Source organism: Homo sapiens, chromosome 5, assembly GCF_000001405.40.
Source record: "Homo sapiens chromosome 5, GRCh38.p14 Primary Assembly".
NCBI classification, from domain to species: Eukaryota; Metazoa; Chordata; class Mammalia; order Primates; family Hominidae; genus Homo; species Homo sapiens.
This window is the reverse complement of record NC_000005.10, coordinates 108,807,224-108,834,411: the sequence shown is the minus strand read 5'-3', so window position 1 is coordinate 108,834,411 and position 27,188 is coordinate 108,807,224. Positions and strand designations below refer to the sequence as shown.

Below are 27,188 nucleotides of genomic sequence, written 5' to 3'. Positions count from 1 at the left end.
AACTTTTTTAATAGATTGATCAGGTTGACAACACTGGAACCAATTAGTCAAGTTTCACATAATAAAAAGATAAATCAACATTATATACCTCCTGATATAAAACTGCAAGAAGTGTATACCACCACCTATGATGTACTCTTGCCCAAAATATGCAGCCAGAATCTTATCAAGTCTCTAGATTTAAATTCCAATTTACAGAAAAAATTAAAGATGAAGGAATATGTGAAATCACATCATAAGATGCTAACAGAAAAACCCAATATGAAGAAAATTCAATTATATAGAGCAAATTACCTAGTTTCTTCCATAAATAAATGGCATTTTATTAAACACTGTGCAGGAAAGAGAACCTACATATTTTTTAAAAGTATCATTCAAATGCAAGGTATAGATGGTATTTGGATCCTGATTGAAACCAACCAACTATAAAAAAACATTTAAACAACAAGCATTTCAACAAAAAGTATTCGATAACATGAAGGAATTATTATTTTTAGGCAAATTAACGGTATTGTAGTTACATTTTTTTTTTTTTTTTGAGACGGAGTCTTGCTCTGATGCCCAGGCTGGAGTGCAGTGGTGCGATCTCCGCTCACTGCAACCTCCACCTTCCAGGTTCACGCCATTCTCCTGCCTCAGCCTCCTGAGTAGCTGGGACTACAGGCGCCCGCCAGTACGCCCAGCTAATTTTTTGTATTTTTAGTAGAGACGGGGTTTCACCCTGTTAGCCAGGATGGTCTTGATCTCCTGACCTCGTGATCCGCCTTCCTCGGCCTCCCAAAGTGCTGGGATTACAGGTGTGAGGTACCGCATCTGGCCTGTAGTTACATTTCTAACAAGATCACTTATTTTAGCTATACATTCTAAAATATTTATGGATAAAATGATACCTTTAAAATGATCCAATGTAAAAAAAAAAAAAGTGGGTAGGAGTATAGAAAAAACGGTGACTATTCAGGTGATGGGTAGGTGGAAGTTGATTTTACTATCCTCTCTTGTTTTATACATTTACAAATTTCTATAATAAAAATAATTTGAAAAAAGTCATTCAGAAGAGACAGACTCCGAATGTAGGGAAAATGAGGGATACGTAAATTTAAGAATACCAAAAGTAATTCTGCCTGTATTTTCTTTTTTATTTATGCAAAGTATTAGATAAGACAAATTTATTTTTAAAAGTCTCAAAGAACTATTTCAGTAAATAAAAACTAAAAATCCTAAGTGATAAGAAAGCTTTGTGTCATAGTTTAATTGGGAGCCTCTTTTTTCTTTCATAGGAGTATATACAGTCACAGTATATCCTATAATCAATGTTTTATGTTCAATAAGATATTACTTATTAGAGACCATAAACCTATTTCTTGTTGGGAAATGATGAATAAACAATTTTTAAAGCCAAATAAGGTAAAATATTTCTGTGAATTTGGAAAACAATTTCAAGAAAGAACTTCAATATGGAAAAACGAACCTTGATCATCTCTGCCTCTATCTGCTGATGAACACCTATGTAACTTTTCTTCACCTGCTGCTTGTCCTTAATCATCATGGTGAGCCTGTGTAAAGGTCCAGAGTTCAAGTCCTCTGCATGTGTCTTCATTATCCTACTAAGTTGTTCTGTCTGCTGAATCATAAGTAGCCAAGACTTAAAAAAAAAAAAAAAAGAAACAAACATTTGCATTAAAGGTTTCCATTTAGCTGTGCTTTAAGAGTTCAAAACTTTAAATATTTAGTTTTATGTAAATTATTACATTAATATAAAAAATAGGTTTCTGGCAACTGTTCAAAGATCTATGAATGGTTCATATTTAACGTCTTCAACTTCAACTACACATGCTTCAAAATTCTATAATCACAGACAACACAGAAAACTAAGAAAAAGATTACGGGACTCTTTAAGAGTCCACACTTGCAGTCTTCATTTGTTCACTTCTCATTTGTTTTCCAGCACACTGAAATACTGCTCTGCCACATGATTCTAATGTCCCACTATGGTCTTCAGTTCCTAATGGTCAAATGCAACAGACATTGTCCCATCCACATCTTAACCTGCATCTCTCTGTGGCATCTGATCCTGCTGACTCAACTTCACTCTGAAACTGTCTTTTGTGGAGGCTCGCTTAGCTTCCTATTTCCAAAATTCCTGGCTTGTTTTCCTCCCTTTCTAAAATTTCCTTTTCAATCTTTGGTACCTGTTCTTTTGTTGCCTGTGAGAATACTGGTATTGTATGGATTTCTATCTATAGCTCTATTCTTTTCCTAACAAATACCTTTACATCTCAATAGTTCTTCCAGCACAATACACCAAAGGGCACAACACACTGCCTCAATAGCAAGAGGCACATAATTGTAGGTTTGGGATCAGTGGGCATATGGAAACTGCTAGAAGAACAAATCATTTATTAGTTAGACTTCCTGACATACACATACTTTTAAAAAAAAAAGGAACAGAGGAATCCTCTTCGCTATAGTATTCAATATTCTATTCAGAAACAATATTGAAGACCTATGACACAGTGGATCCAAAAGATATTTTTTAAATGAGCAAAGTTTGGTTTCAGATACTGACAAGAATAATTTTCTACTCTATTATTTTTGATCTGTGAATGAACAGAATTATTTTCCTTCTGTTAATATTCCAATGTAATCAAAAATCAAAATTTCATAAGCATCTAAAGCAAAATTATAGCCTAAAGAAAGCAAATTCTTAGTCATAATACAAAGTTGCCAGGATCTGACTTGCCAATCTTGTTTTTGATACACTGCATTGTATGTTTTTTAAAAAATAATAACCTTTGAGAACAGTTTTTTAGGGAGGGGACTATTTTTAGTTGTGAAATGATATGATGAACATGGAACATATGTGCGGCCTATAAACCCATCATATTTACTTTTAAATATGAAAATATAATCACTAATTTGCTCTTAACACCACAAAGCAATTTAAAACTAATGTAGTCCTTACTTTAAAATCTAAAATGTAACAAAGATGCAAACAGTATAAAACTATATAAACATGGATTAAAAACATAAACTAAATGGCTATAATATATGTAGCTTTGCCTTTTTCATCTAGTATTTTCACTTCAAACTATGCAGTGTTGGAGAAATATTCTATGGCATGTGTAGAATGTTAATGCTACAAAAAAATAAAAAGTGAGAGGAGACAGTCTTCTTGCTGTATCTTCAAAAAATAAATATTCTTTAAGTGCTTTGTAGCAATAACTTTTTGTAATTCTATGTAGCAGTCCTTGCAGCCTAGGCGAGAAGATTTCTTGCAAGCCAAAAAACCACACAATTGGGTCAGATTGCCCTCCTCTCCCAGAATGGTACATCCCAACCTGCCTAAAAGCCCTGTTCAGTGTAGTCACTACAGGAAGTCCAAGGTCTCAAAGCATATATTGCCACTCTGTCAACCCCATATTGTCCTCAGTATCTCCTAATCCAACCCAAGCCACTATCTATAGAATCCTGTATTGTCAAGAACTCTCGCTCTATAATTAGAAAACTCTTCATACCTCTTATCAGAACTTTCCATTCATCTTCTAGTTTTAACAAAAGCCTGGCTCTATCTCACTCCCAACACCCCAACGCTGCTAATAAACATTCTCTGTGTTTCTGCAGAAGTCCCAGCTCCTTTGAATCTGAGGACACCCTTCTCCATGAACAATGCATCAGCAAGTCTTTCAGATTCTGTCTCCAAAGTCAATCACAAATCCATCTTCTTCTCTCCATCTCCAGTGCCACTCCTTTGAAGGTTATGATTACCTCTGGCTTAGACTATTACAACACCTCCCAAATGGTACACTCTCATGCTCCTTTCCAATCCATTCTCTTTAAAGTAGCAATAATAATAATAATACAATAATAATTTAAAAATTAATATAACTGTCTCCCTTAAAACACTACATTGGCTTTCCTTTTCATTTAAAGAAAAATCCAAACTCCTTTCTTTTGTGTTGAGATGGAGTCTTGCTCCATCACCTAGGCTGGAGTGCAGTCACGCAATCTCCACTCACTACAACCTCCACCTCCTGGGTCCAAGTGATTCTTGTGCCTCAGCCTCCCAAGTAGCTGAGACTACATGTGTGAACCACTACGCCCAGCTAATTTTTGTATTTTTAGTAGAGGCGGGGTTTTGTCATTTTGCCCAGGCTGGTCTGGAATTCCTGGCCTCAAGTGATCCACCCACTTTGGCCTCCCAAAGTTCTGGGATTGCAGGCATGAGCCACCACACCCAGCCCAAACTCCTTCTAAGACTTATAATGTCTCCCATTATCTATCTGCTAATCTATCCTTCCAACTTCATGTATTGCTGTTCTCTACCAAGCTAAATAAATGCTAGAAATATTGTTCTTTCTTCACTTTGCTGAACATAGCAAGCTCCAATCTCTTCCTGAAAGTTTCTACCTCTACCTGGAAGCTCTTCCTCACCTTCACCTGGCAAGCTCCATACCTTCCTTTAGTAATCAGCTAAATATCCTATAGGTCTAATCCTTGCTATTCTGTCTTACTCTTTCTCAGCATTTAAAACAATTATTTATCTATATGTATAATTGGTGGTTTGGTTTTTTATAATGTCTCCTCAATTGAAATGGAAGCTCCATGAAGGCGGTACCATGTTTAATATTTTGAGTATTTATTGTGATGTTTGAGACAAGAGGGAGGGAAAGAGGGAAGAAGTAGGAAAAAAGAAAGAAAAAAAGGAAGGAGGAATGTAGAATAAAACCATGAATTAAATACATGCCATAAAAGTGACTTAAAAAAGTTTTTTTTGAGACAGGGTCTCACCCTGTCACCCAGGCTGGAGTGCAATGGCACGATCATGGCTCACTGCAGACTCAACCTCCCAGGCTCAAGTGATTCTCCCACTTCGGCTTTCCAAGGAGCTGTGACTACAGGCATGCACCACTATGTCCAGCTAATTATTTTGATTTTTAGTAGAGACAAGGTCTCACTATGTTGTTCAGGGTGGTCTTAAACTCCTGAGTTTGAGTGATCTTCCCACCTCAGCCTCCCAAAGTGCTGGGATTACAGGTGTGAGCCACCATGCACAGCCATAAATATTTTTTTTAACACAGAATTAGGTAATATTATAATGTGATAGTGAAGAAAAAGTAAACAGGTCTATCTTCAACTGAAAAAATAACAGAAATAGCAGAGCAGCATGTAATGCAAATGAAACACTGACCTAAAAGGAATGGTTGAAAGTCACAAACAAAAAGATCTTTGGATGATATAATTCCTTGAATTAGCTGGGTGGGTGGGATATTTGTTAAAAGAGAGGAGAGTAAAATGTTAATAGGTGCTTAACAAAGAAACAAACAAAAGTAAAGCTACATTTCTATATTTACAGTAAAACTGGAATATAGCACGTTGCAGATATAGCTCTTTGGTTACAGCATAGCAATGATTAGGACATAGATAAATTGTTATTAGGATAATTTGTGGAAGATAATTCTTTTTCTTTTTTTAAAAAAATAGAGACAGGGTCTCACCATGTTGCACAGGCTGGTCTCAAACTCCTGGCCTCAATCAATCATCCTGCCGGTCTCCCAAAGTGCTAAGATTACAGGCGTAAGCTACTGCACCCAGCTGCAAGCTAATTCTTTGTAACTTAATAAACAAAATATTGTCGGCCACTTGAAGACCTTAAAATTGCTTCATTATACAGAAACCTGATTGCTAATAGTATTCCTTACAATTGAATTTTACCAGTAGGAAGTCACTGATGCTGAAAGTTATAGACAGGTTAAAAAATATTAAAAAGTAAAAATACCTGAATTTTAATTTTAGAAAAGTTTAATCATAGGCAAATAACAATAATACAATCAGGAAAAAACACTGTTAAAATTTGCAAAACGGAATATAAATATCATCATTATTGAAAAAAGAGCTACAAAACATTAAAGTGATAATAATTTAATTTTACTAGACTAGACAAAAATTCCACAGGATACCAACAAAAATGAAGAATGAGAGACTGACGGAAAGAAGTGTTAGTACCTTTTCAAATAGAAGAGTCAGAAGATAGCTTTAGTTCTTAAGTTTGTGTATCAAGAAGTATAAATTTGAGTTTATAATTCTTGAGTTTCTAAAGTTAACCAAGTGAAGGTTTTTAAATAAGCAGCCTATTTATACCTCCTGAATTATCAAAAGTGCTTTTTAAGGAAAGTTAACACTATCCATTTTAACAAAGTACAAAAAGTAAATAATAATTGAAAATAAGTACAAAATACAAATGAGGCCAGGAGCAGTGGCTCATATCTGTAATCCCAGTGTTTGGGGAGGCCAAGGTGGGAGGATTATTTGAGGCCAGGAGCTCGAGAGTAGCCTGGGCAATGTAGCAAGACAGTGTCTCTACAAAAAAAAAATTTTTAATCAAAAATTTGAAAAGCTTTGTTTTTAAATTTAAACATTAGCTGGATATGGTGGCTTGTTTCTATAGTCCTAGCTACTCAGGAGGCTGAGGTTGGAAGATTCCCTTAAGCCCAGGAGTTTGAGGTTACAGTGAGCTATGACTTTGCCACTACACTCCAGCCTGGGTGACAGAGCAAGAGCCTGTCTTGGGGGAAAAAAAAAAAAAAAAAAAGATACTAACTCCATCTGTTAAATATTATACGAAAATGGGATAAACACTTATAAAAAGGAAAACATTATCAAATCAGAGAGGGGACAAAACTTCACTATATGCAATACGTATGAAACAGAAATAAAATACAGCACAACAACAAAAAGACAAGTGAAAACACCCCAGAAAAATATGAACAACAAGACCCTGTAGTCACTATATTCAAATAATATAAAGTCAAATTCTAGGACAAAATATAAAACAAAGAAGAGCTTACTTAATTACAGAAAAAAGGAAATAAAGTCGCTAAAATTAAGTCTAAGAAAAGAGAAATAACCATAGATTAATAATAACTTATGAGAACTTTGACAGGAAAATACTAAAGAATGGAAGAAATGGGTACTATTTTTTTCTTCTTTTGAAGAGAAACATAAAGTGCCAAGACTGACACTTCAAGATATAGGGTACGGATCATTTGATTGCTCACAGTTAGAAACCCAGCCCTTTATCTGTGCTGTCCCTTGCTAATTACCTTCTGATAGGGTTGAGGAATAGGAGGAAGGCTGGCAGGCTCTCACTCTTGCACTCTCTCTCCCTCTCCTGTTTCCTTTTAGCTTTTCCAAAAGTGTTGAAGATTTTCCCAAAATTAAAACCTGTCTATTGAACTACATCATGTAAGTTCCACTTTCCTGTTGGAATCCCAACTTTTACAAGTACGAAATTCAAAGAGACCAATAACCATGGAGTCCATGGTTGTCATAAACCAATTATGAATAACATACCTCTAATAAAGTGCAAAGCTCAAATGTTTTGCTATTGAATAATATCTAAATTGTTTGAATCAGTAAACTTTGGTGCTACTTAAATTGTCTCTAAGAATTGAGAATAAAAAAAAAGTTTCTAAAACCACCATAACATTGAGAAACTGAGGCAGAACCCTGTGGAATCCCTGAATTGAGGAGACAGAGCTGGGAGTCTGCAAAGAACAAGGTGCTATGGAATAAAAACAAATACAACCTACCAAGACTGAATCATGAAGAAACAGAAATTCTGACTAGACTAAAACAGGTAGGGAGACTGAATCAGTAATCAAGCACTTCCCATCAAAAAGCCCAGACCTTTGTTTGATTCATTAGTGAATTCTACAAAACATTTATAGAAGAATTGACATCAGTCCTTTTCAAACTACTCTAGAAAACTGAAAAGGAGGGAACACTTCCAAATTCATTCTATGAAGCCAGTATTACCCTGACAGCAAAGCCAGACAAAGACACTATAAGAAACAAGAACTGTCCAGGTGCAGAGGCCCATGCCTGTAATCCCAGCACTTTGGGAGGTTGAGGCGAGAGGACCGTTTCAGCCCAGGAGTTCAAGATCAGCCTGGGTAACACAGGAAGGCACCATGTCTACAAAAAATAAAAATAAATTGGAAAAAAAGGAAAGAAAAATTACAAGCCAATATCCCTAATGAACACAGATGTAAAAATCCTCAATATAATTCTAGAGAACAAAATTGTATACATATTAAAAGGATCATATACCATGACCAAGTGGGCAAGTGGGATTTATCCCTGGGATGCAAGCATGGTTCAACATACACGAATCAATAATTTTGTATTTGACACATTATATTAACAGAATAATGAATAACTTCATGTGATCGTGTCAATATATGCACAAAGAGTATTGGGCAAAATTCAACATCCTTTCATGATAAAAATTCTCAAGGAATCAAGTATAGAATCAATGTATCTCAACATAATAAAGGCTAGATATGGCAAGCTCACAGCTAACATAGTCAATGGTAAAAAACTGATAGCTTTTCCTCTAAAATCGGAAAAAAGAAAAGGATGCTCACTCTCACTTCCATTTAATGGCATACTAAAAGTCCTAGCCAGAGCAATTAGGCAATAAAAAGAAATTTTAAAAATCCAAATCAGAAAGAAAAGTATGACTGTCTACAATAGACAGGATCTTGTGTTGCGGGAAGTCAGGGACCCCAAATGGAGGAACCGGCTGAAGCCATGACAGAAGAACGTGGATTATGAAGATTTTATGGACATTTATTGGTTCCCCCAAATTAATACTTTGGTAATTTCTTATGCCTGTCTTTACTGTAATCTCTAAGCATAAATTGTAAAGATTTCATGGACACTTATCACTTCCCCAATCAATACCCTTGTGATTTCCTATGCCTGTCTTTACTTTAATCTCTTAATCCTGTCAGCTGAGGAGGATGTATATCCTTCCAGGACCCTGTAATAATTGCGTTAACTACACAAATTGCACAGCATGTGTGTTTGAGCAATATGAAATGTGGGCACCCTGAAAAAAGAACAGGATAACAGCAATTGTTCAGGGAATAAGAGAGATAACCTTAAACTCTGACCGCCGGTGAGCTGGGCAGAACAGAGCCATATTTCTCTTCTTTCAAAAGCCCAAATGGGAGAAATATTGCTGAATTCTTTCTTTCAGCATGGAACGTCCCCCAGAAAGAGAATGCGCACCTAGGGGTACGTCTCTGAACTGGGCCCCCCGGGGCGTACCTGTCTCTTATGGTTGAGACTGCAGGGGTGAAATAAACTCCAGTCTCCCATAGCGCTCCCAGGCTTATTAGGAAGAGGAAATTCCCACCTAATAAATTTTGGTCAGACCGGTTGATCTCAAAACTCTGTCTCCTGATAAGATGTTATCAATGACGGTGGTGCCCAAAACTTCATTAGCAATTTTAATTTCGCCTCCGTCCTGTGGTCCTGTGATCTCGCCCTGCCTCCACTTGCCTTGTGATATTCTATTACCCTGTTAAGTACTTTTTGTCTGTCACCCACACCTATTCGCACACTCCCTCCCCTTTTGAAACTCCCTAATAAAAACTTGCTGGTTTTTGTGGCTTGTGGGCATCACAGATCCTACCAATGTGTGATGTCTCCCCCGGATGCCCAACTTTAAAATTTATCTCTTTTGTACTCTGTCCTTTTATTTCTCAAGCCAGCCGACGCTTAGGAAAATAGAAAAGAACCTACGTGATTATCGGGGCAGGTCCCCCGATAATCTCGTATGTAGAAACCTGTGACTCTCCAATTTTAAAAAACTGAATTAATAAGTGAATTCTGTAAAATTGTAGGATTAAAAAATCAACATATAAAGATCAATAACATTTGTTTTTCTTTTTTCTTTTTTAAAATTTATTTCTTTTCCTGCCAGGAGTATAAAAACAATCAGTAACATTTCTATACAGTAACAACAAACTATCCAAAAAAGAAATTAGGAAAACACTCCCAAATTAGCATCAAAAATAATACGATACATAGGAATAAATTTAACCAAGGAAGTGAAAGGTCTTTGCACTGAAAACTATAAGATATTGATGAAAGAAGTTGAAGAAGGCACAGATAAATGGAAAATATGTTTACGTTCATGAATTGAAAGAATGATCATTAAAATATCCATACCACCCAAAACAATCTACAGATTGAAAGCAATTCTATCAGAATTCCTAATTAAAATTTCAATGATAAAAAACGACATTAGAATTTTGAAATAGAAAAAAAAAATCCTAAACTTCTTATGGAGCCATAAAATACCCTGAATGCTAAAACAATCTTTACAAAGAATAAAGCTGGAGGCATCATACTTCCTTTTTCCAAACTATATTTCCAAAGGTATATTAATCAAAATAATATAATACTAGCATAAAAACAGATACATGGGCCAATGGAAGAATAGAGGGAGCACAGAAAAATAAACCCACACATATACAATCAACTCATCTTTGACAAGGGCACCAAGAATACACAATAGGGAAAAGATAGTCTCTTCAATAAACAGTGTTGGGAAAACTGGATATCCACATGTAAGAGAATGAAACTGGATCCCTATCTTAGACCATACACAAAAATCAACTCAAAAAGAACTAAAGACTTAAATATAAGACCTGAATCCATAAAACTCCTAGAAGAAAAAATAAAGGAAAAGTTCCCTGACACTGCTGTTGGCAATGATTTTTTGAAGATGACACCAAAAGCACAGACAACAAAAGCAAAATTAAACAAGTGAGACTGCACCAAACTAAAAAGCTTCTACACAGCAAAGGAAATAACCAAATAAAAAGGCAATCTAAAGAATGGGAAAAAATATTTGCAAATTATATATCTAATAAGGGAACTGATATAAATATGTAAGGAACTAACACAACTCAACAGCACACAGAAAAAAATAGCTCAGTTTTCAAAATCTGCAAAGGACCTGAGCAGATATTCTTCCAAAGAAGATACACAAATGACCAAAGGATATATGAAAAGGTGCTCAGTATCACTAATCATCAGGTAACTACAAATCAAAACCACAATGACCTATCACCTCACACCTATTAAGATGGCTATTATAAAAAAGACAAAAGATAAGTGTTGACAAAGATGTGAAGAAAAGGAGCACTATACACTGTTGATGGAAATGTAAATTAGGACACCCATTATGTAAAACATATCGAGGTTCCTCAAAAAATTAAAAATAGAACTGTTATATGATCTAACAAGCCCTCTTCTGGTTACATAGCCAAAGAAAACAAAATCAATACAACAAAAAGATACCTGTAATCTCATGTTCATTGTCATATTGCTACAGCTTGCATATTATTTGTTTGTCCCCACCAAAACTCACGTTAAAGTTTGATCCCCAGGCCAGGCACAGTGGTTCATGCCTGTAATCCCAGGACTTTGGGAGGCCAAGGGGGGCAGATCACTTAAGGTCAGAAGTCCAAGCCTGGCCAACATAGTGAAATCCTGTCTCTACTAAAAATACAAAAATTAGCTGGCCATGGTGGCAGGCCACCTGTGATCCCAGCTACTCAGGAGGCTGAGGCAGGAGAATCACTTGAACCCAAGAGGCAGAGGCTGCAGTGAGCCGAGATGGCGCCACTGCATTCCAGCCAGGAGGCTGAGGCAGGAGAATCACTTGAACCCAAGAGGCAGAGGCTGCAGTGAGCCGAGATGGCGCCACTGTATTCCAGCCTAGGCGACAGAACGAGACTCTGTCTCAAAAATAACATAAAATAACATAAAATAACATAAAATAAAATAAATAAAATAAAATAAAATAAAATAAAATAAAATAAAATAAAATAAAATAAAATAAATAAAATAAAATTTGATCCCCAATGTGGTGGTATTGGTAGGTAGGGCCTAATGGAAGGTGTTTGGGTCATGAGGGCTGCTACTATGTGGGTGGCTTGGTGCCATTCTCAGAATAGTGAGTTCTCACTCTGGCAAGACTAGATTAGCTCTTGTAGCAATGGATTAGTTCCCACAAAAGTGGATTGCTATAAAGTCCCTGGATTTTCTCTCTTTGCATATGTCCACTTCCCTTTATTTTTCTCCCTGTGTTATGACACAGCACAATAGTTCTCACCGGAAGCCAGGGTGATGACCTTGAACTTCCCAGCCTACAGAACTATAAGCTAAATAAACCTCTTTCTTTATAAAATGCCCAATATCAGGAATTCTATTATACCAACAGAACTTGGACTAGGACAGGCATTATTCATAATAGGCAAGATATAGGAACAACCCTCAACAAATGAATAGATAAAGAAATTATAGTAAATAAAATGTGTGTGTGTGTGTATACACATATATAATGGAATATTATTCAATCATAAAAAAGAAGGAAATCCTGCCATTTTTGAGAACAGGGATTAATCTAGAGGGCATTATGCTAAGTGAAAAAGCCAGGCATAAAAAGACAAATATTGCATGATCTCACCCATATGTGGAATTTTAAAAAGTCAAATTCAGAAAAAGAGAATAGAATGATGATTGCCAGGGGATAGGGGTGAAGAAAATGGGGACATTTTGGTCAAAGGGAACAAAGTTTCAGTTATGCAGGATTAAAAAGTCCTGAAGATCTAATGTACACCATGATAACTAGAGTTAATAATAATTTATTATACACTTTGAATTTGCTAAGAGAGTACGTATCTTAAGTGTTCTCCTCATGAAAAGAAATAATAACTATGTGAGGTGACAGATAAGTTAATTAACTTGATTGTGGTAATCATTATACAACATATATCAAAATATTACAAGGTATACCATAAATACATATAATTTTTCTTAAAAAATAAAATAATTATATTATAGAATTTAATAACAAAAATAATATGTGTGTACTTGGAAACCTCTAAGGAGACAGAGGGAGAGACAAGGAAAGTATTCAAAGAATAATGGCTAAAATTTTTCAAAATTGGATGAAAAATAAATACAGATCAAAGAAGCTCAATGAACCCAAGCACAAGAAGCATGAAAAAGGCAAGACTACCACTACCATATTTGTGTCAGCCTTGGGATATTAAAATTTTCATAGTGATAATATAATAATTTTCAAAAACTGTTTACATATATGAAACTCCTTCAACGGTATAACTCATTGTAATGAGTTCTTGGATATCTTCATTTTTCTTATAACATTTAAAAATTTTCCCCTATAAATACAGCAGGAATTGACTAGTCTCTTTCCCCGGATCATTTATGTCTTGGTGTCCAGATTTATAAGCATGTTCCTATCTGGTGAAGGTTTTTAAAGAACCAAAGGACTAAGGTTACTTGATAAATCAGAGGAAGGTGAATCATCTGAGTTAAGTATGACCTTCAATGTCAGCAGAATTTCACTTTCTCTTGGTTAAAGCCTTTCTAACAATAGAAAGGTTGAAACTTTTAAGACCATGTTATTTTTTTTGAGACGTAGTCTCACTCTATCACCCAGGCTGGAGTACAGTGGAGCAATCCTGGCTCACTATACTTTCCACCTCCTGGGTTCAAGTGATTCTCTTGCCTCAACCTCCCGAGTAGCTGGGATTACAGGCATGTGCCACCATGCTCGGCTAATTTTTGTATTTTTAGTAAAGACAGGGTTTCACCATGTTGGCCAGGCTGGTCCCAAGTGATTCGCCCACCTTGGCCTCCCAAAGTGCTGGGATTACAGGCGTGAGCCACTGCACCTGGCCTAAGACTCTGTTATTTCAAGTATTTCAGATTCTCAGATCATCAAACACTAATATAATAACCAAAATGAATCCAAATGAAAGCAAAAATAATATGTGGACAAAGACTAAATTTTTTAAATAAAACCAATATAATCAAATTAAATAATTGGTTTCTAATGACTGGTACCAAAGATGCTGAGCTGCATTAGCTCAGTTACGGTCCAGTCTCAAAAGTTAGAGAACCACATGACTACCGGGATATTACTACTGGTATTAAAAAGGTAAATCTAAGTATCTAAACACAGAACAGGCCAGAAAAGAAATTAAGAAATTATATTACCTTTTCTTTCCCAATACTTTTCCAGCTTCTTGGTGCTCCTCAATTGCTTTTATTCCTCTTGGACTTAAGGGCCACCTTTCTTGTTCTTCTTTTGAAGAACAGTAACCAGAAAAATAACCAGCCATAGTCACCTTTATTCTTCAGAAGTAAATCGCCTAACCTCAGCAGTTTTCTCCTACCAAAAATTAAGCATTGAATAAAATACCTTCACAGTCCCTTTCAGTTCCAGCATCCTGTGATCTTTTCCTATTTATTAATAGCTACTTCCTTATTTAGTGCCATCCTCACAAACTCCTTGACTTTTATAGCTCACGTCCAGAGAAGATTCCTTTGTTGATCCAGCTCTAGTAGAGGACTGTTAAAACAATAATGGCCTATTTGGAAATTTTAAAGAGAAGAATGAACTATAGTTAGGATTCTGGGAGATTTTTATCTCTTCTTTAGCTTCTTTTTTTTATATTCCTGCTCTCCACTCTTTCCCATTCCCTTTCCATGTCCTAGACAAGCCGTTCTGTTATTTTCTATTTCCTGTAGTTCCAGATTATCCTTCATTGGCCCCATCAGCTCAATATTTTTTTAAAAAACAAAGTCCTCTCTTTCCTCCTCCAACCCAATCAACCTTTTCATCTACTGCCTTATCTATCTTTTTTCAAACTCCTCAAATAGACTTCTGGGGGAAAAAAATTAAAACTCAGTTCTTACTCCCAGAAGGTATAAACTAATCTATATACTCAAGACACTTCCTTCTTCTGAATCTCTATTTTAAAAAAATGCTTTTTTTCTCTCTCACATAGAATGAACAGGTGGAATTGATGGTCTCCATTAGTTCTTTCCAACCTGACTCCTATTAAAGCTAACTTTGCTTATCTAAATGAGAGAGACGCTCTCTGCCTCTTTTACATACTGGGGCTTCACTTATTAATATTACCAACCTCTTGCACACTCGCAGCAGGCCTTCTCTTATTTACTCCTTTTATCAACACTATGAAGAAAATACCTTCATCTTATAAATGTGGAGTTTGAATGTCAGATAAATTAATCTGCCTAAAGTCACACACCTAAATAATGGAAGAGCTCACATTCAAATACAAAACTAATTCTTAATGTGTTACACCTGACATAACCTGATGCTTGGAGGGAGCAGTGTGGGAACCTAAAGGTCTTAATATCTACAAACTACTTTAAGAATAACTACCTAGCCAGGTGCAGTGGGACATGCCTATAATCCCAGCACTTTGGAATTACAGGCTGAGGCAGGAGGATCACTTGAGCCCAAAAGTTCAAGACGAGCGTGGGCAAAAGAGTCAGATCCCAGCTCTAAAAATTAAAAAAAAAAAAAAAAAAAGCTGAGCATGGTGGTGCACACCTGCAGTCCCTGCTACTCGGGAGGCTGAGGTGAGAGGATCACTTAAGCCCAGGAGTTAAAGGCTACAGTGAGCTATGAGCACACCACTGCACTCCAGCCTAAGCGACAGAGCTAGACCCTGTTTCTAAAAATAAAAAAGAATAACTATCTAGGTTAAACTAAGGAGAATATTATTAAACTGGTTACAAATTACATAGTAATCTTTAATTTCTATTTAGTACTTAATCATTAAATTAGAAGTGAAGAGCCATAGGAAAAGCTATCTACTCCTTTAGGCTACCTACTTTGTAGTATGAGCACATCTAAAAAGAAGTCCTTGTAGGGCAAGATTGGTGAGTCACTCTTGATATGACATGCTCTGTGAGAAGCTATGGATATGAAAATGAAAGAGGCCTCTCACTGTAACTGCCTTTCTAACTAAAGTAATGACCCATCTCTCAAATCTCCCTGAACAGAACAATTAAATAAAATTATCATCTTATCTAACCGCCCCAATATCTCACTGGATAATTAGAAATAGGACTACTTTAACACAGTGAAAAAGACAGCACACATTTCCCAATGCCCCAGGAAAACAAATTACTAATTTGAGATTTTAAAATTTTAGAACATTTTTCAGAATTCTGAGTTGTATATTAATATTAATATTATTAAAAATATTGCTTTTACCTGAAATGTAAAATGTGATTTCAAAAGATTTATTCTTTTTATCTTTTTTTTGGAGAAAGTCTTGCTCTGTCACCCAGGTTAGAGTGCAGTGGCACAATCACGGCTCACAGAAGCCTTGACTTCCCGGGCTTAGGTGATTCTCCCACCTCAGCATCCTGAGCAGCTGGGACCACAGGAATACACCGCACACCACCATGCCCAACTAATTTTCTTTTTGTATTTTTTGTAGAGATGGGATTTCACCATGATGTCCAGGCTGGTCTAGAACTCCTGAGCTCAAGCAATCCACCCTCCTTGGCCTCCCAAAGTGCTAATATTACAGGCGTCAGCTACCGCATATGGCCAATTTTCTAAATTCTTAAATGCGATTCTTTGGCAGTGTTGTTTTGTGACCAAAAATAAAATGGTTCCTAGAAATAAACACATCACCTATTTCATAATAAAAAGGAGGAATAATAATTCAATTTACAGAAATTTTATTCTCATCTACCCCAAAAACGAGATCATTGCATACATTAAATAGCATCTCAGGCTTCTAAAATAATTAACATAAACCCTACAATGCCTATTTTATGCTTAGGAAGACTATAGAGGTAAATAGTACCAGTTATACTAAGATTAATACATGATATAAAGAAAGTAAACTCTGCATGCAACTTTTGAAAAAGAGAAAACTACACATAAGGGGAAAATACATAACTTTTAGAAATGCATATTAGTCCTTTCTTGCCCTCTAAATTTGAACTAACAGCTGTGTAGTGAGGTAAATCAGTATTCCATAAACAGGTATTAATTTAAGTGCTCTGAGTTTATTATACCAAAAGTATTTATTCTACAACACTGGATTAAAGAACAAACTACTACTGGAGCTATAATTATACTAAAACATTGAAAATAAATCACGAAGATGACTCAAGCTTGAAAAATACCTAAATAATAGTTGTTATAAATAGCTTTTCACTGCAGACTACACCTCCAACTACTTGTTTGCTTTCTTTTTGCTTGAATTTTTTTAAATACAACATAAAAATTCCATGAAGAATGCATAGTCTGTGCACTACACAATAACTCAAAATAAATGGTTCTGTGAAACAACAGTTTTTATTGTGAGTTTGCCCATTACATAAGAAGAATGTTTTTGGAGTCTCTGTGTCTTTATGGAATATAGAAATCCAGAAGACAACTCCTTAAATTCCCCTAAAGCTGAAGTTTTCAAAGATTCAATCGCAAGTTCAAAGGAAATTTTAGATACTTCCCATTCATAAGAGCCTCTCTTCATTTTCTTCAAAGCTTCACGGTTTCCCTGGACTAGTGGTTCACAACTCTGGCTGCAATAAGAAGCAACTGCAAGCTTTTTTTTTTTTTTTTTTTTTTTTTTTTTTTTTTGAGACAGTGTCTTGCTCTGTTGCCCAGGATGGAGTGCAGTGGCATGATCTCTGCTAACTGCAACCTCTGCCTCCTGGGCTAAAGTGATCCTCCCACCTCAGCTTCCCAAGTAGCTGGGACTACAGGACCAGGCCACCATGCTCAGCTAATTTTCTTTTATTTTTGGTAGAGATGGGATTTTGCCACGTTGCCCAGGCTGATCTTGAACTCCTGCGCTCAAGTGATCTGCCCACCTCAGCCTCCCAGAGTGCTGGATTACAGGCATGAGCCACCATGCCCAGTCAAACAACTGCAAACTTTTTAAAAATACCAATTATTGGCTCTAAGGCCATAGATTCTTATTTAACAGGCTTTGGATGGGGTCTATACATCAGTACTTTAAAGCTCCACAACTAATTCTAATGTATAAGCTCTACTGTAACAAAATATTTTTGTGCCTAATAACCATGAGATTGTACAAAAATTACAGAATAAAAACCACAGGGCTTATGGACAAATGGGGTTAAAGGCATAATACTCAAGAAACTAATCAGGGACACATTTTTTTAAAAACAGAAACCTAACAGAAAAAACTTTGCATAGTTTTACACATATTAAACGTTAAGAAGCACATGACTACTATATTAACATGGCACTTCATTTTGAAAAGACCTGAAGCTTGCTTGTCAAAGTCGACTTCAGAAAGGTTGCAACTTGCGAATTCTGTAAAGGGGAGAGTTATTCAAAATTTGACAGAAAGTTGAAATGCCACATGTGGATGAGTGTGGCTCACAACAAAAAGGTAAATGAAGGTAGCCAGTAAAGGACTGAAGTGTGTGTCTACTATGTATTCCTACGCAGCATGGTTAAGCTAGTTATAGTTTTCTGCATTCACCTAGTGCTTCTTCAGGTTTCAGACATAAACAAATGCAAAATTAACGTTAAGCTCAAATCGTTCCTAATATGTCAATTGTGTGGGAACAAACTCATGGTTTTTTTTTTGATAGATTAAAGCATGTGTGTATATATGTGTGGTGTGTGTGTGTTTGGGGGGGCGGTGGTGTAGTTAGTTAGTTACTTAGTTAAGACAGGGTCTTGCTATGTTACCCAGACTCGTCTTCAATTTGTGGCCTCAGGTGATCCTCTCATTAACCAAGTTTTTAAATGTTGAAATGATTTCAACCAAGATTTCAATGTTTTCAAATCCGGTGGTATAGCAGAAGTGGCTCTATAGCCAGGCTTAAAAATTACTGCTTTAAAAATATATATAGTTGAAACCCTAGTTGTACAGGCTCAAGTTACATTATATATGTATTATGTGACTACTAAATAATCAGACTGATTCATCAAAAAGCATTTTTCATTACTTTTTATTCCTATGTGGTATATGTAACATCACCAATATTTCAATTCACTTCATGTTTAAAAGGTAAGGCAATACTTCCTTTTAAGTACCTTGCATCATTTGAAGATAGTATTTATCACTGTACTATTTCAGAAGTTGACTGTATGCAGACAGATATAATTTTACATAAAGAAGAAGAAGCAAAGTAAAATTCATCTTCAGCACAGAAAACAGGTCCTAACAATACAATAGCTGTTAAACATATGAAAGATGTTTAATTTAACTCTTTTTAGAGAAATATAAAAGCACCCTAGATATCATTTCTTACCTATCAGAATAATAAAAATACAAAAGTCTGAGAACAAACTCTGTTACCCAGATTAAGTAGAAGCTGACATCCTCCTATGTTTCTGCTGGATATGCAAAATGATACAAGATCCACAGAGGAAATTTCTAGAAATATAAATTTATATTTATATTGGCAATATATAACAAAAATATATAATATAACAGGTACATTTACATTTTGGCCTGGAAATCTCATTTCCAAAAATTCAGCGTGAAGACACCCATGTTACAAAAATACACCTATTCAAAGTTATCCATTGCAGCATTATTTGTAATTGCAAATACTGTGAAACCTAAAATTCCATATATAGTAAATTGGTTGAATGTTCAGATATTTTCCCCACTAAAAGAAACCAGGACTCCTAGGGAAAAGGGTTTATTCCAGGAATGTAGAAAGCAACATTCAAGATGAGATTGGAATATCTTCTTATGCCAAAAAGTAAACAAGTGCTCAGAGAATGAAGAAAAAATAGAAACCAGGTAGTTGGGGGAAAAAGATAGCTACCTAGGTCTCCATCTCCTACTATTTCCTCCAATAGGAATACAAACGAACAAAAAAAGAAAAGAAAACCACACAAGAAACATGCCCTCAGGATTAAAGACAGAATGTACACACTTCAAAATAACTATAAATAACAGAGGCATTCGAACTAGAGTGATTCCATCTTGAGTGAGGGCTAGGAAAAATGAGGCTGCGACTTGCTGAGCTGCATGCCCAGAAAGTTAGGTATTGCTAGCCTCTAGATGTTTATGGTTAAGGGAACAGATTGATAATGTTTACTAAACAGATCCAGACTTAGGAGTGTCCTAATACCCCGATGATATCTTGAGAACAGAAGCATTCCTAATTTTGCTTTAAAGATAATAACATCAATTCTTGCAAAATATAGTAATTAAGAAAAGTAATCCTTTATCACAAACCCTTGTAACAGAGCACATCTCCCAATGATCTTTTTTTATCCTGTATACAAACACGTATTGTACCTAGGGTGGACACATTTCTCCTCTTACTTTCAGGAACGCCCTCCCCTGTGTATGGAGTAGCTGTACTTTCACCACTTTACTTTCTTAATAAACCTGCTTTTGCTTTGCACTGTGGACCTGTTCTGAATTATTTCTTGCGCGAGATCCAATAACCCTCCCTTGGGGTCTGAACTGGGACCCCTTTCCTGTAAAATAAATTAAAAAATGAAAAATTACCAAATCACAGGTTCATGTGATTTCTCATGTTCGTATTCTAGATAAAAAGTCACAGAAGAGATACAACAACTATTAAATAAATGAAATAAGTGACTGTGTATTGAATTCTGGATCAGAATGAAAAAGTAATTGCCAAAAAAGGACTATATTCCATATATTCACAAAACTAGAGGAAAGAATAAATATATTAAGTCAAAAGATACAAGATATAAAAGGAATTCAAATCTACTAGAGATATTTACGACTTGTTCATTTTTAACATGGAAATGGCCCAACTACTTGATTTCTGTTTATTCTCTCCATTTGTTCCACCCTAAAGTATGGGTGTGGAGCAAAAGGAAAAGTTGAGTTTTGGCAGGTACAAGAAGACGAAGGAATGGTACACAGGCATAATTTAAATTTAAATATTGGCAAGAAAGGAAGTATTGTTGCCAGAAAAGGAGGAGTGAGGGAAGAAGAGACACTGCTGGAAATAAGTGATCAGGGAAAGAATTAAAGTTAACCTCATTAATAGGGTTACGAAAGGAAGTTGGAAGTAAAAATATCTGAGCTGAAAAATACAGTGGATAAAATTAACAACAGATTAGACATTGAATAAAAGTAAGATTAGTGAAGTAGAAGACAACAATAAAAACTAACCACAATGAAACACAGAGAAGAAAGAAAAATACAGCATAGTAAACTGTAAGACAACTTTAAACAGCCAAATCCATACGTAATCAGGGTCCTGAAAGAAGATAAAAGGAAGAGGGAGAACTAAAAAACAATTATTTAAAATAATGCCTGAAAACTTTCCAAAGTTGATGAAAACTGTAGTAGCCCATGGGTTTAAAAAGGTCAACAAGACCCTAGCACAAAAAATGCAGAGAAAACTACATAAAGGCACATAATGAATTGCTTAACATCAGTAACAAAGGGAAAACCTTAAGTGCAGCCAGAGGAAAAAAACATTAGGCACAAATTTTTCATGAGAAACAACACAAGTAAGATGATAATACAGCAACATCTTTAAAATATGTAAAGAAATTGCCAAACAGGAATCTTATACATGTAAAAATTGTTTTCAAAAACAAAGGACACCATAAAGATATTTTTACGCTTTCAAACCTAAAAAAAAATTTTTTTCAATAGACTTGCACTATAAGAAATGTGAAAGGAAGTTCTTCAAACAGAAAGAAAATGATACAAGCTAGAAACCTGAATCTACATAAAGAAGACTACCATACACTGTAACTCAATGAGCAAATATAAAGAATTATGTACTTATTATTTAAATTATTCAAAAGATAATCAGCAAAAATAATAATGTATTGTGGATTTATAACTCACATATAATTAAAAGCTGTAACAATAATAACACAAAGAACAGGTGGGAGAAACTGAAGTATACTCTTGCAAGAATATTATTATAGATGAGGTTCTACATATCACTGAAATACAGACTTATAGTAAGTTATAGATGTATACTATAGACCTTAATGCAACCATTAAAATAACACAATAAACATTTATAGGCAATAATTCAATAAAGGAGATAAAAATAGTCACATTTTAAAAATGCTCAATCCAAAAGAAACAGGAGAAAGGAATATAAGAACATAAAAAGAGCAGACAGGATAAGGAGAAAACAAATGGTAAGATGATAAATTTAAACCTAATCATATCAATAATCACACTAAATGAAATAGTCTAAACACACAAACTAAATAGCAGAGATTGTCATATTAGGAAACCAAGCAAGACTCAACTATATGTTACTTACAAAAACCCACTTCAAATATACCAAATATATGATGAAAAACGACATACCACGCTAACATTAGCCAAATGAAACCCAGCGTGGTTATATTAATATCAGACAGCTTACATTTCACAACAAAGAATGTTACCAGAGTTAAGTTAATTTCTCAGTGATAAAGGGCCTAATTAATGAGGAGAAAATAAAAATCCTAAACATTTCCCACCCAATAAACAAGTTAATTTATTTGTCAAGAAGATATAACATTTCTAAACATTTATGCATCTAATAATAGGGAATTGAAATATAAGAAAAATGGACTAATAAATGCCAAAGAGAAACAGGCAAGTTCACAGTTATAGTGGGAGATTTCAGCATCCCTCTCTCAACTGATGGGACAGGTAGACAAACATGAGTAAAGAAACTGTGATGTTTAATTTTATGTGTCAACTTGACTGACTCAAAGGAACTGCAGATAGCTGGTGAAACCCATCTCTGTGTGTCTTTGAGGGTGTTTCCAGAAGAGATTAGCATTTGAATGAGACAACTGAGTAAAGAAGATCCACCAGAAGATTCGATGACAAGCATTATCGAATCTATTGACAGCCTAATGGAACAAAAAGGAGGAGGAAGGGCAAATTCACTCTCTCTCTTCTAGAACAGATATTCATCTCCTCCTGCCCTCGAGCATCAGAACTCTAGGTTTTTGGGCCTTCTTACTCTGGGATTTACACAGGAGGTACCTCTGGTTCTCGGGCCTTTAGACTCAGACTGAATTACAGCACTGTCTTTCCTAGTTCTCCAGCTTGCAGACAGCATATCGTGTGTCTTTTAGACTTCCATGATAAATCATATATATATATCTCCTATTGGTTCTGTTTCTCTGGAAAACCCTAATACAGAAATAGAAGACTTAAACACCACTATCAACCATCTTCACTTTACTGTCATCTATAGAACACTCTAACCAACAACAGCAGAATACATACTTCTTAGCAACTGCACATGCAATATTTACCAAGACAAACTATTTTCTGGGCCATGAAACAAGTATTCATGAATTTTTAAACATTCAACTGATACAAAATAGATTCTTGAAAAACAATGAAATTAAATTTAAAATCAGTAACGAAGAGATCCATGGCAAAATATATATACATTTGAAAATTAAGTAATATAACATGGTATTTTGGGGCCCACTCCACTCCATACCCAGGCAGATCTCTAGGCATCTGGAGCATCCACTCACTTGGATCAGCAGCATGACCTGCCCCACCCTTCCCATTCACAGATCTTGGTGCAGGGAGGCCCTCTCCACTTCACACCTAGGCAGATCTCCAGGCATTCAGAGCACCCACTTGCCTGGTTCAGCAGCCTGGGATGCCCTACCCTTCCTGGACATAGATTGTGGGGCAGAAGGGCCCTCTCCATTCCACGGCCAGGCAGATCTCCAGGTACTTGGAGCACTTGCTCACCTGGAGAAGCAGGCTGACACACCCACCCTTCCTGTGCATAGATCATGGGGCAATAGGGCCCTCTCTGCTCCTCACCAGGGCAGGTCTCCAGGCATTCAAAGAACCTGCATGCCCGGACTGGAAGCATGAGCCACCCTACCCTTTCTGTGCAAAGATACAGGTAAAGGAGGGCCTTCTCTTCCTCACCCCCAGGCAGATCTCCAGACAGCTGAAACACCTGCTCACCTAGGTCAGCAGACTAAGTATCCAACCCTTCCTATGAAGACACCGTATTGCAGCTGGGCCCTCTCTGCTCAACACCAAAGCAGATCTCCACTGGGAGCACCTACTCTTCTGAATCAGCAACCTGACCTGCCCCACCATTCCTGTGCAGAGACTGTGGTGCTGCAGTACTCTCCATGTCTAGGCATCTGGAGTACCCACTCTCCTGGATTAGGAGTTTGGCCAACTCTCCCTCCCCGGGCAAAGAACTTGGGGCTGAGGAGGTTTCCTAGGCACACCTCTGAGCACTTGGTGGACACCCATTGGATTCTCCCTCAGTGCTGGTGCTTCTGCCTGCCACTGGGCGACAGGTAGGCAGGCCTGCCCAGTCCGGCCCCACACATGTTGCTCCCCAGCCTGGAGAGGTGAGCAGGGAAATCAGACCACTGTGCACTACACGGATCAATCAATTGCCTGAGGCAACAGAGAGCTTCTCTCAGTAAGCGAGGATCAAGTATACACACCCAGCTGTGTTAGCCACAGCCACGTCTTACCTATAAGCGCTATGTACTGGCTTATATATAAAGAAAGCCCAATACAAAAGCCCAGTATAAAACCTGCCAACGGAAGTCCATACGGCAGAGCCAAAAAGACATTACTGAACATTCTCTATAGACATACTACCTAGGAAGGAGGGGAAAGGAAAAGAGAAATTAAAAAATAACAATAATATCACAAGAAAAGAAAGAAAAAAGAAAAATTCCTACCTGCACAAAAATAATTACAAAAATTAGAAGTGCCAGCACCTCTAGATGAGAAGGAACCAGCACAAGAATTCTGGCACTATGAAAAATGTGAATGTAGTGACATCACCAAAGGATCATACCAGCTCTCCAGCAATGGTCTGTAACCAAACTGGAAACTCAGAAATGACAGATAAAGAATTTAAAGCACAGGCTTGGCATGGTGGCTCACATCTGCAATCATAGCATTTTGGGATGCCAAGGCAGGAGGATCACTTGAGCCCAGAAGTTTGAGAACAGCCTGGGCAATATGGTAATATCCCATCTCTACAAAATATACAAAAATTAGCCAGGCATGGTGGTCCACACTTGTAGTCCCAGCTACTCAGGAGGCTAAGATAGGAGGATTACTTAAGCCCAGAAGATCAAGGCTGAAGAGAGCTGTGATCATGCCACTGCACACCAGCCTGGGCAACAGAGCAAGAACCTGTCTAAAAAACAAAACAAAACAAAAAATTCAAAGTATGGAAAAGCATGTATTACAAGAATGATTAACAAGATCCAAGACAAGGATGAAATTCAATACAAAGAAACTTCAAAAGCAATCCAGGCAATGAAGGAATACATCAGCATCTTAAAGAGAAATCAGTCAGAGCTTATGGAGTTGAAAAACTCACTTAAGGAGTTTCAAAAGACAACTGAAAGCTTCAGAGGAAACTTCAGAGCCTAAATACATGTCTTCAGAACTAACGCAGTCAGACAAAAGTAAATAAAAAAGAATTTTTTAAAATAAACAAACTCTCTGAGAAATACGGGATTAGGTAAAGCAACGAAACCTACAAGTTACGTCATTCCTGAGAAAGAAGGAGAAAAAGTAAACAACCTGGAAAACATATTTGAAGGAATAATACAAAAAAAGTTTCCCTAATCTTACTGGAGAGGTAGATATCCACATACAAAAAAATCCAGGTAACACCTGTGAGATGCTATACAAAGTGAACAGCAACAAGACATATTGTCACAAGACTGTCCAAGATCAAAACTAAAGAAAAAAATCTTAAAGGCAGCTGAGAAAAAGGTCAGATCACATGTGCAAAGGGAAATCTGTCAGGCCAACAGTGGACTTCTCAGCAGAAATCTTCTAAGCCAGGGAAGATTAGGGGTGTACTTTCAGCCATCTTTAAGAAAAGAAATTCCAATCAAGAATTTCACATCTCACCAAACTAAGCATCGTAAGTGAAGGAGGAATAAAACATTTTCCGGACAAGCAAGTGCTAACAGAATTCTATACCAGGTCGCCTCACAAGAGATCCTTAAGGGAGTTCTAAACAAGGAAACAACAACAACGAAAATACCTGCTACCACAAAAACATGCACACAGGCCCTATAAAGGAACCACACAATACAAACTACAAAGTAATCATCTAATGACTTCACAATAGGATCAAAATCTTACATATTAATATTAATATTAATATTGAATGTAAACTGTCTAACTACTCCACTTAAAAGGCACAGAGTTGCAAGTTGGATTAAAAAAACAAACCCAACCATCTGCTGTCTTCAAGAAACCCATTCTTACATGTTGACACCCACAGGCACAGAGTAAAGGGTTAGAGAAAGATCACACAAACAGAAAACAAAAAAGAATAGTGAAGCTATTCTTATATCAGATAAAACAAATGTTGGACCAACAAAAAAAAATGGACAAGAAGTAATAATGATACTAATGATAAAGAATTTAATTCAACAAGAAGACTTAACTTATATTTAATATATGCACCCAACATTGAAGCACCTAGATTCACAAAAAAAATACATCTAGACCTACAAAAAGACACAGACAGCCACACAACACCCCACTGATAGCATCAGACAGATCACTGAGACAGAAAACTAAGAAAGAAATTCTGACCTGAAATTCAACACTTGACCAACTGGATCTAATAGAAATCTAGGAAATATTCCATGTATCATACACAGAATACACATTACTCTCATCTGACATGGAACATAATCTAACATCAACCACATGCTTGGCCATAAAACAAGTCCCAGTAAATTAAAAAAAAAAAAAACTAAATCATACCAACAACACTCTTGGGCCACAGTGAAATAAAAGCAGAAGTCAACACCAAGAAGATATCTCAAAACTACACAATTACATGAAATTAAACAACTTGCTCCAGAATGACTTGTGGGTAAACAATGAAATTAAGGCAGAAATCAAAACATTATCTGAAATAAATGAAAATAGAGAAACAGCATACCAGAATCTCTGGGACGCAACAAGAGCAGTGTTCAGAGAAAAGTATATAGCACTAAACACCACCTCAAAAAGGTAGAAAGATCTCGAATTCAGGATCTAATACTATACCTAGAAGATCAAGAAAAACAAGAACTAACCCTAAAGATAGCAAAAGAAAAGAAGTAACCAAAACCAAAGAAAAACTGAATGAAATTGATATCCAATCATCCATACAAATAAACAACAAAACAAAAACTTTGATCTTTGAAAGGATAAACAAGGTTGATAGACCACTAGCTAGACCAACAAAGAAAAAGACGGAAAATGAAAATAAGCACAATAAGAAATCACAAAGGTGACATCAAAACTGATCCACAGAAAAACAAAAGATCCTCAGAGACTATTACGAATACCTCTATGCAAACAAACTAGAAAATCTACAGGAATGGACAAATTCCTGGAAACACGCAACTTCTCAAGATTGAATCAGGAATATATTAGTCTGTTTTCACACTGCTGATAAAGACATACCTGAGACAGGGCAATTTACAAAAGACAGAGGTTTAACTGGACTTACAGTTCCACGTGGCTGGGGAGGCCTCA

At 36.3% G+C, this 27,188-nt stretch overlaps 1 protein-coding gene across 22 annotated transcripts in view; it reads right to left on the bottom strand.

Moving 5' to 3' along the window:
- The window catches only part of FER (FER tyrosine kinase), a 448,945-nt gene that overhangs the window by 362,430 nt on the left and 59,327 nt on the right, over positions 1-27,188 (bottom strand). For 20 of the 22 annotated variants that reach the window (NR_146155.2, XR_007058589.1, XR_007058591.1 and 17 more), the window contains one exon: positions 1,469-1,642. The exons of 1 other annotated variant lie outside the window; for it this stretch is intronic. Coding sequence is in view for 17 of the 21 variants with exons in the window: in NM_005246.4 (NP_005237.2) it covers positions 1,469-1,642 (174 nt within the window). In the remaining 4 variants the exon portion in view is untranslated. Of the gene's footprint in view, positions 1-1,468; positions 1,643-13,887; positions 14,063-27,188 lie in introns of all 22 variants that reach the window. One more of the 22 variants, XM_017009233.3, reaches the window with a different exon arrangement.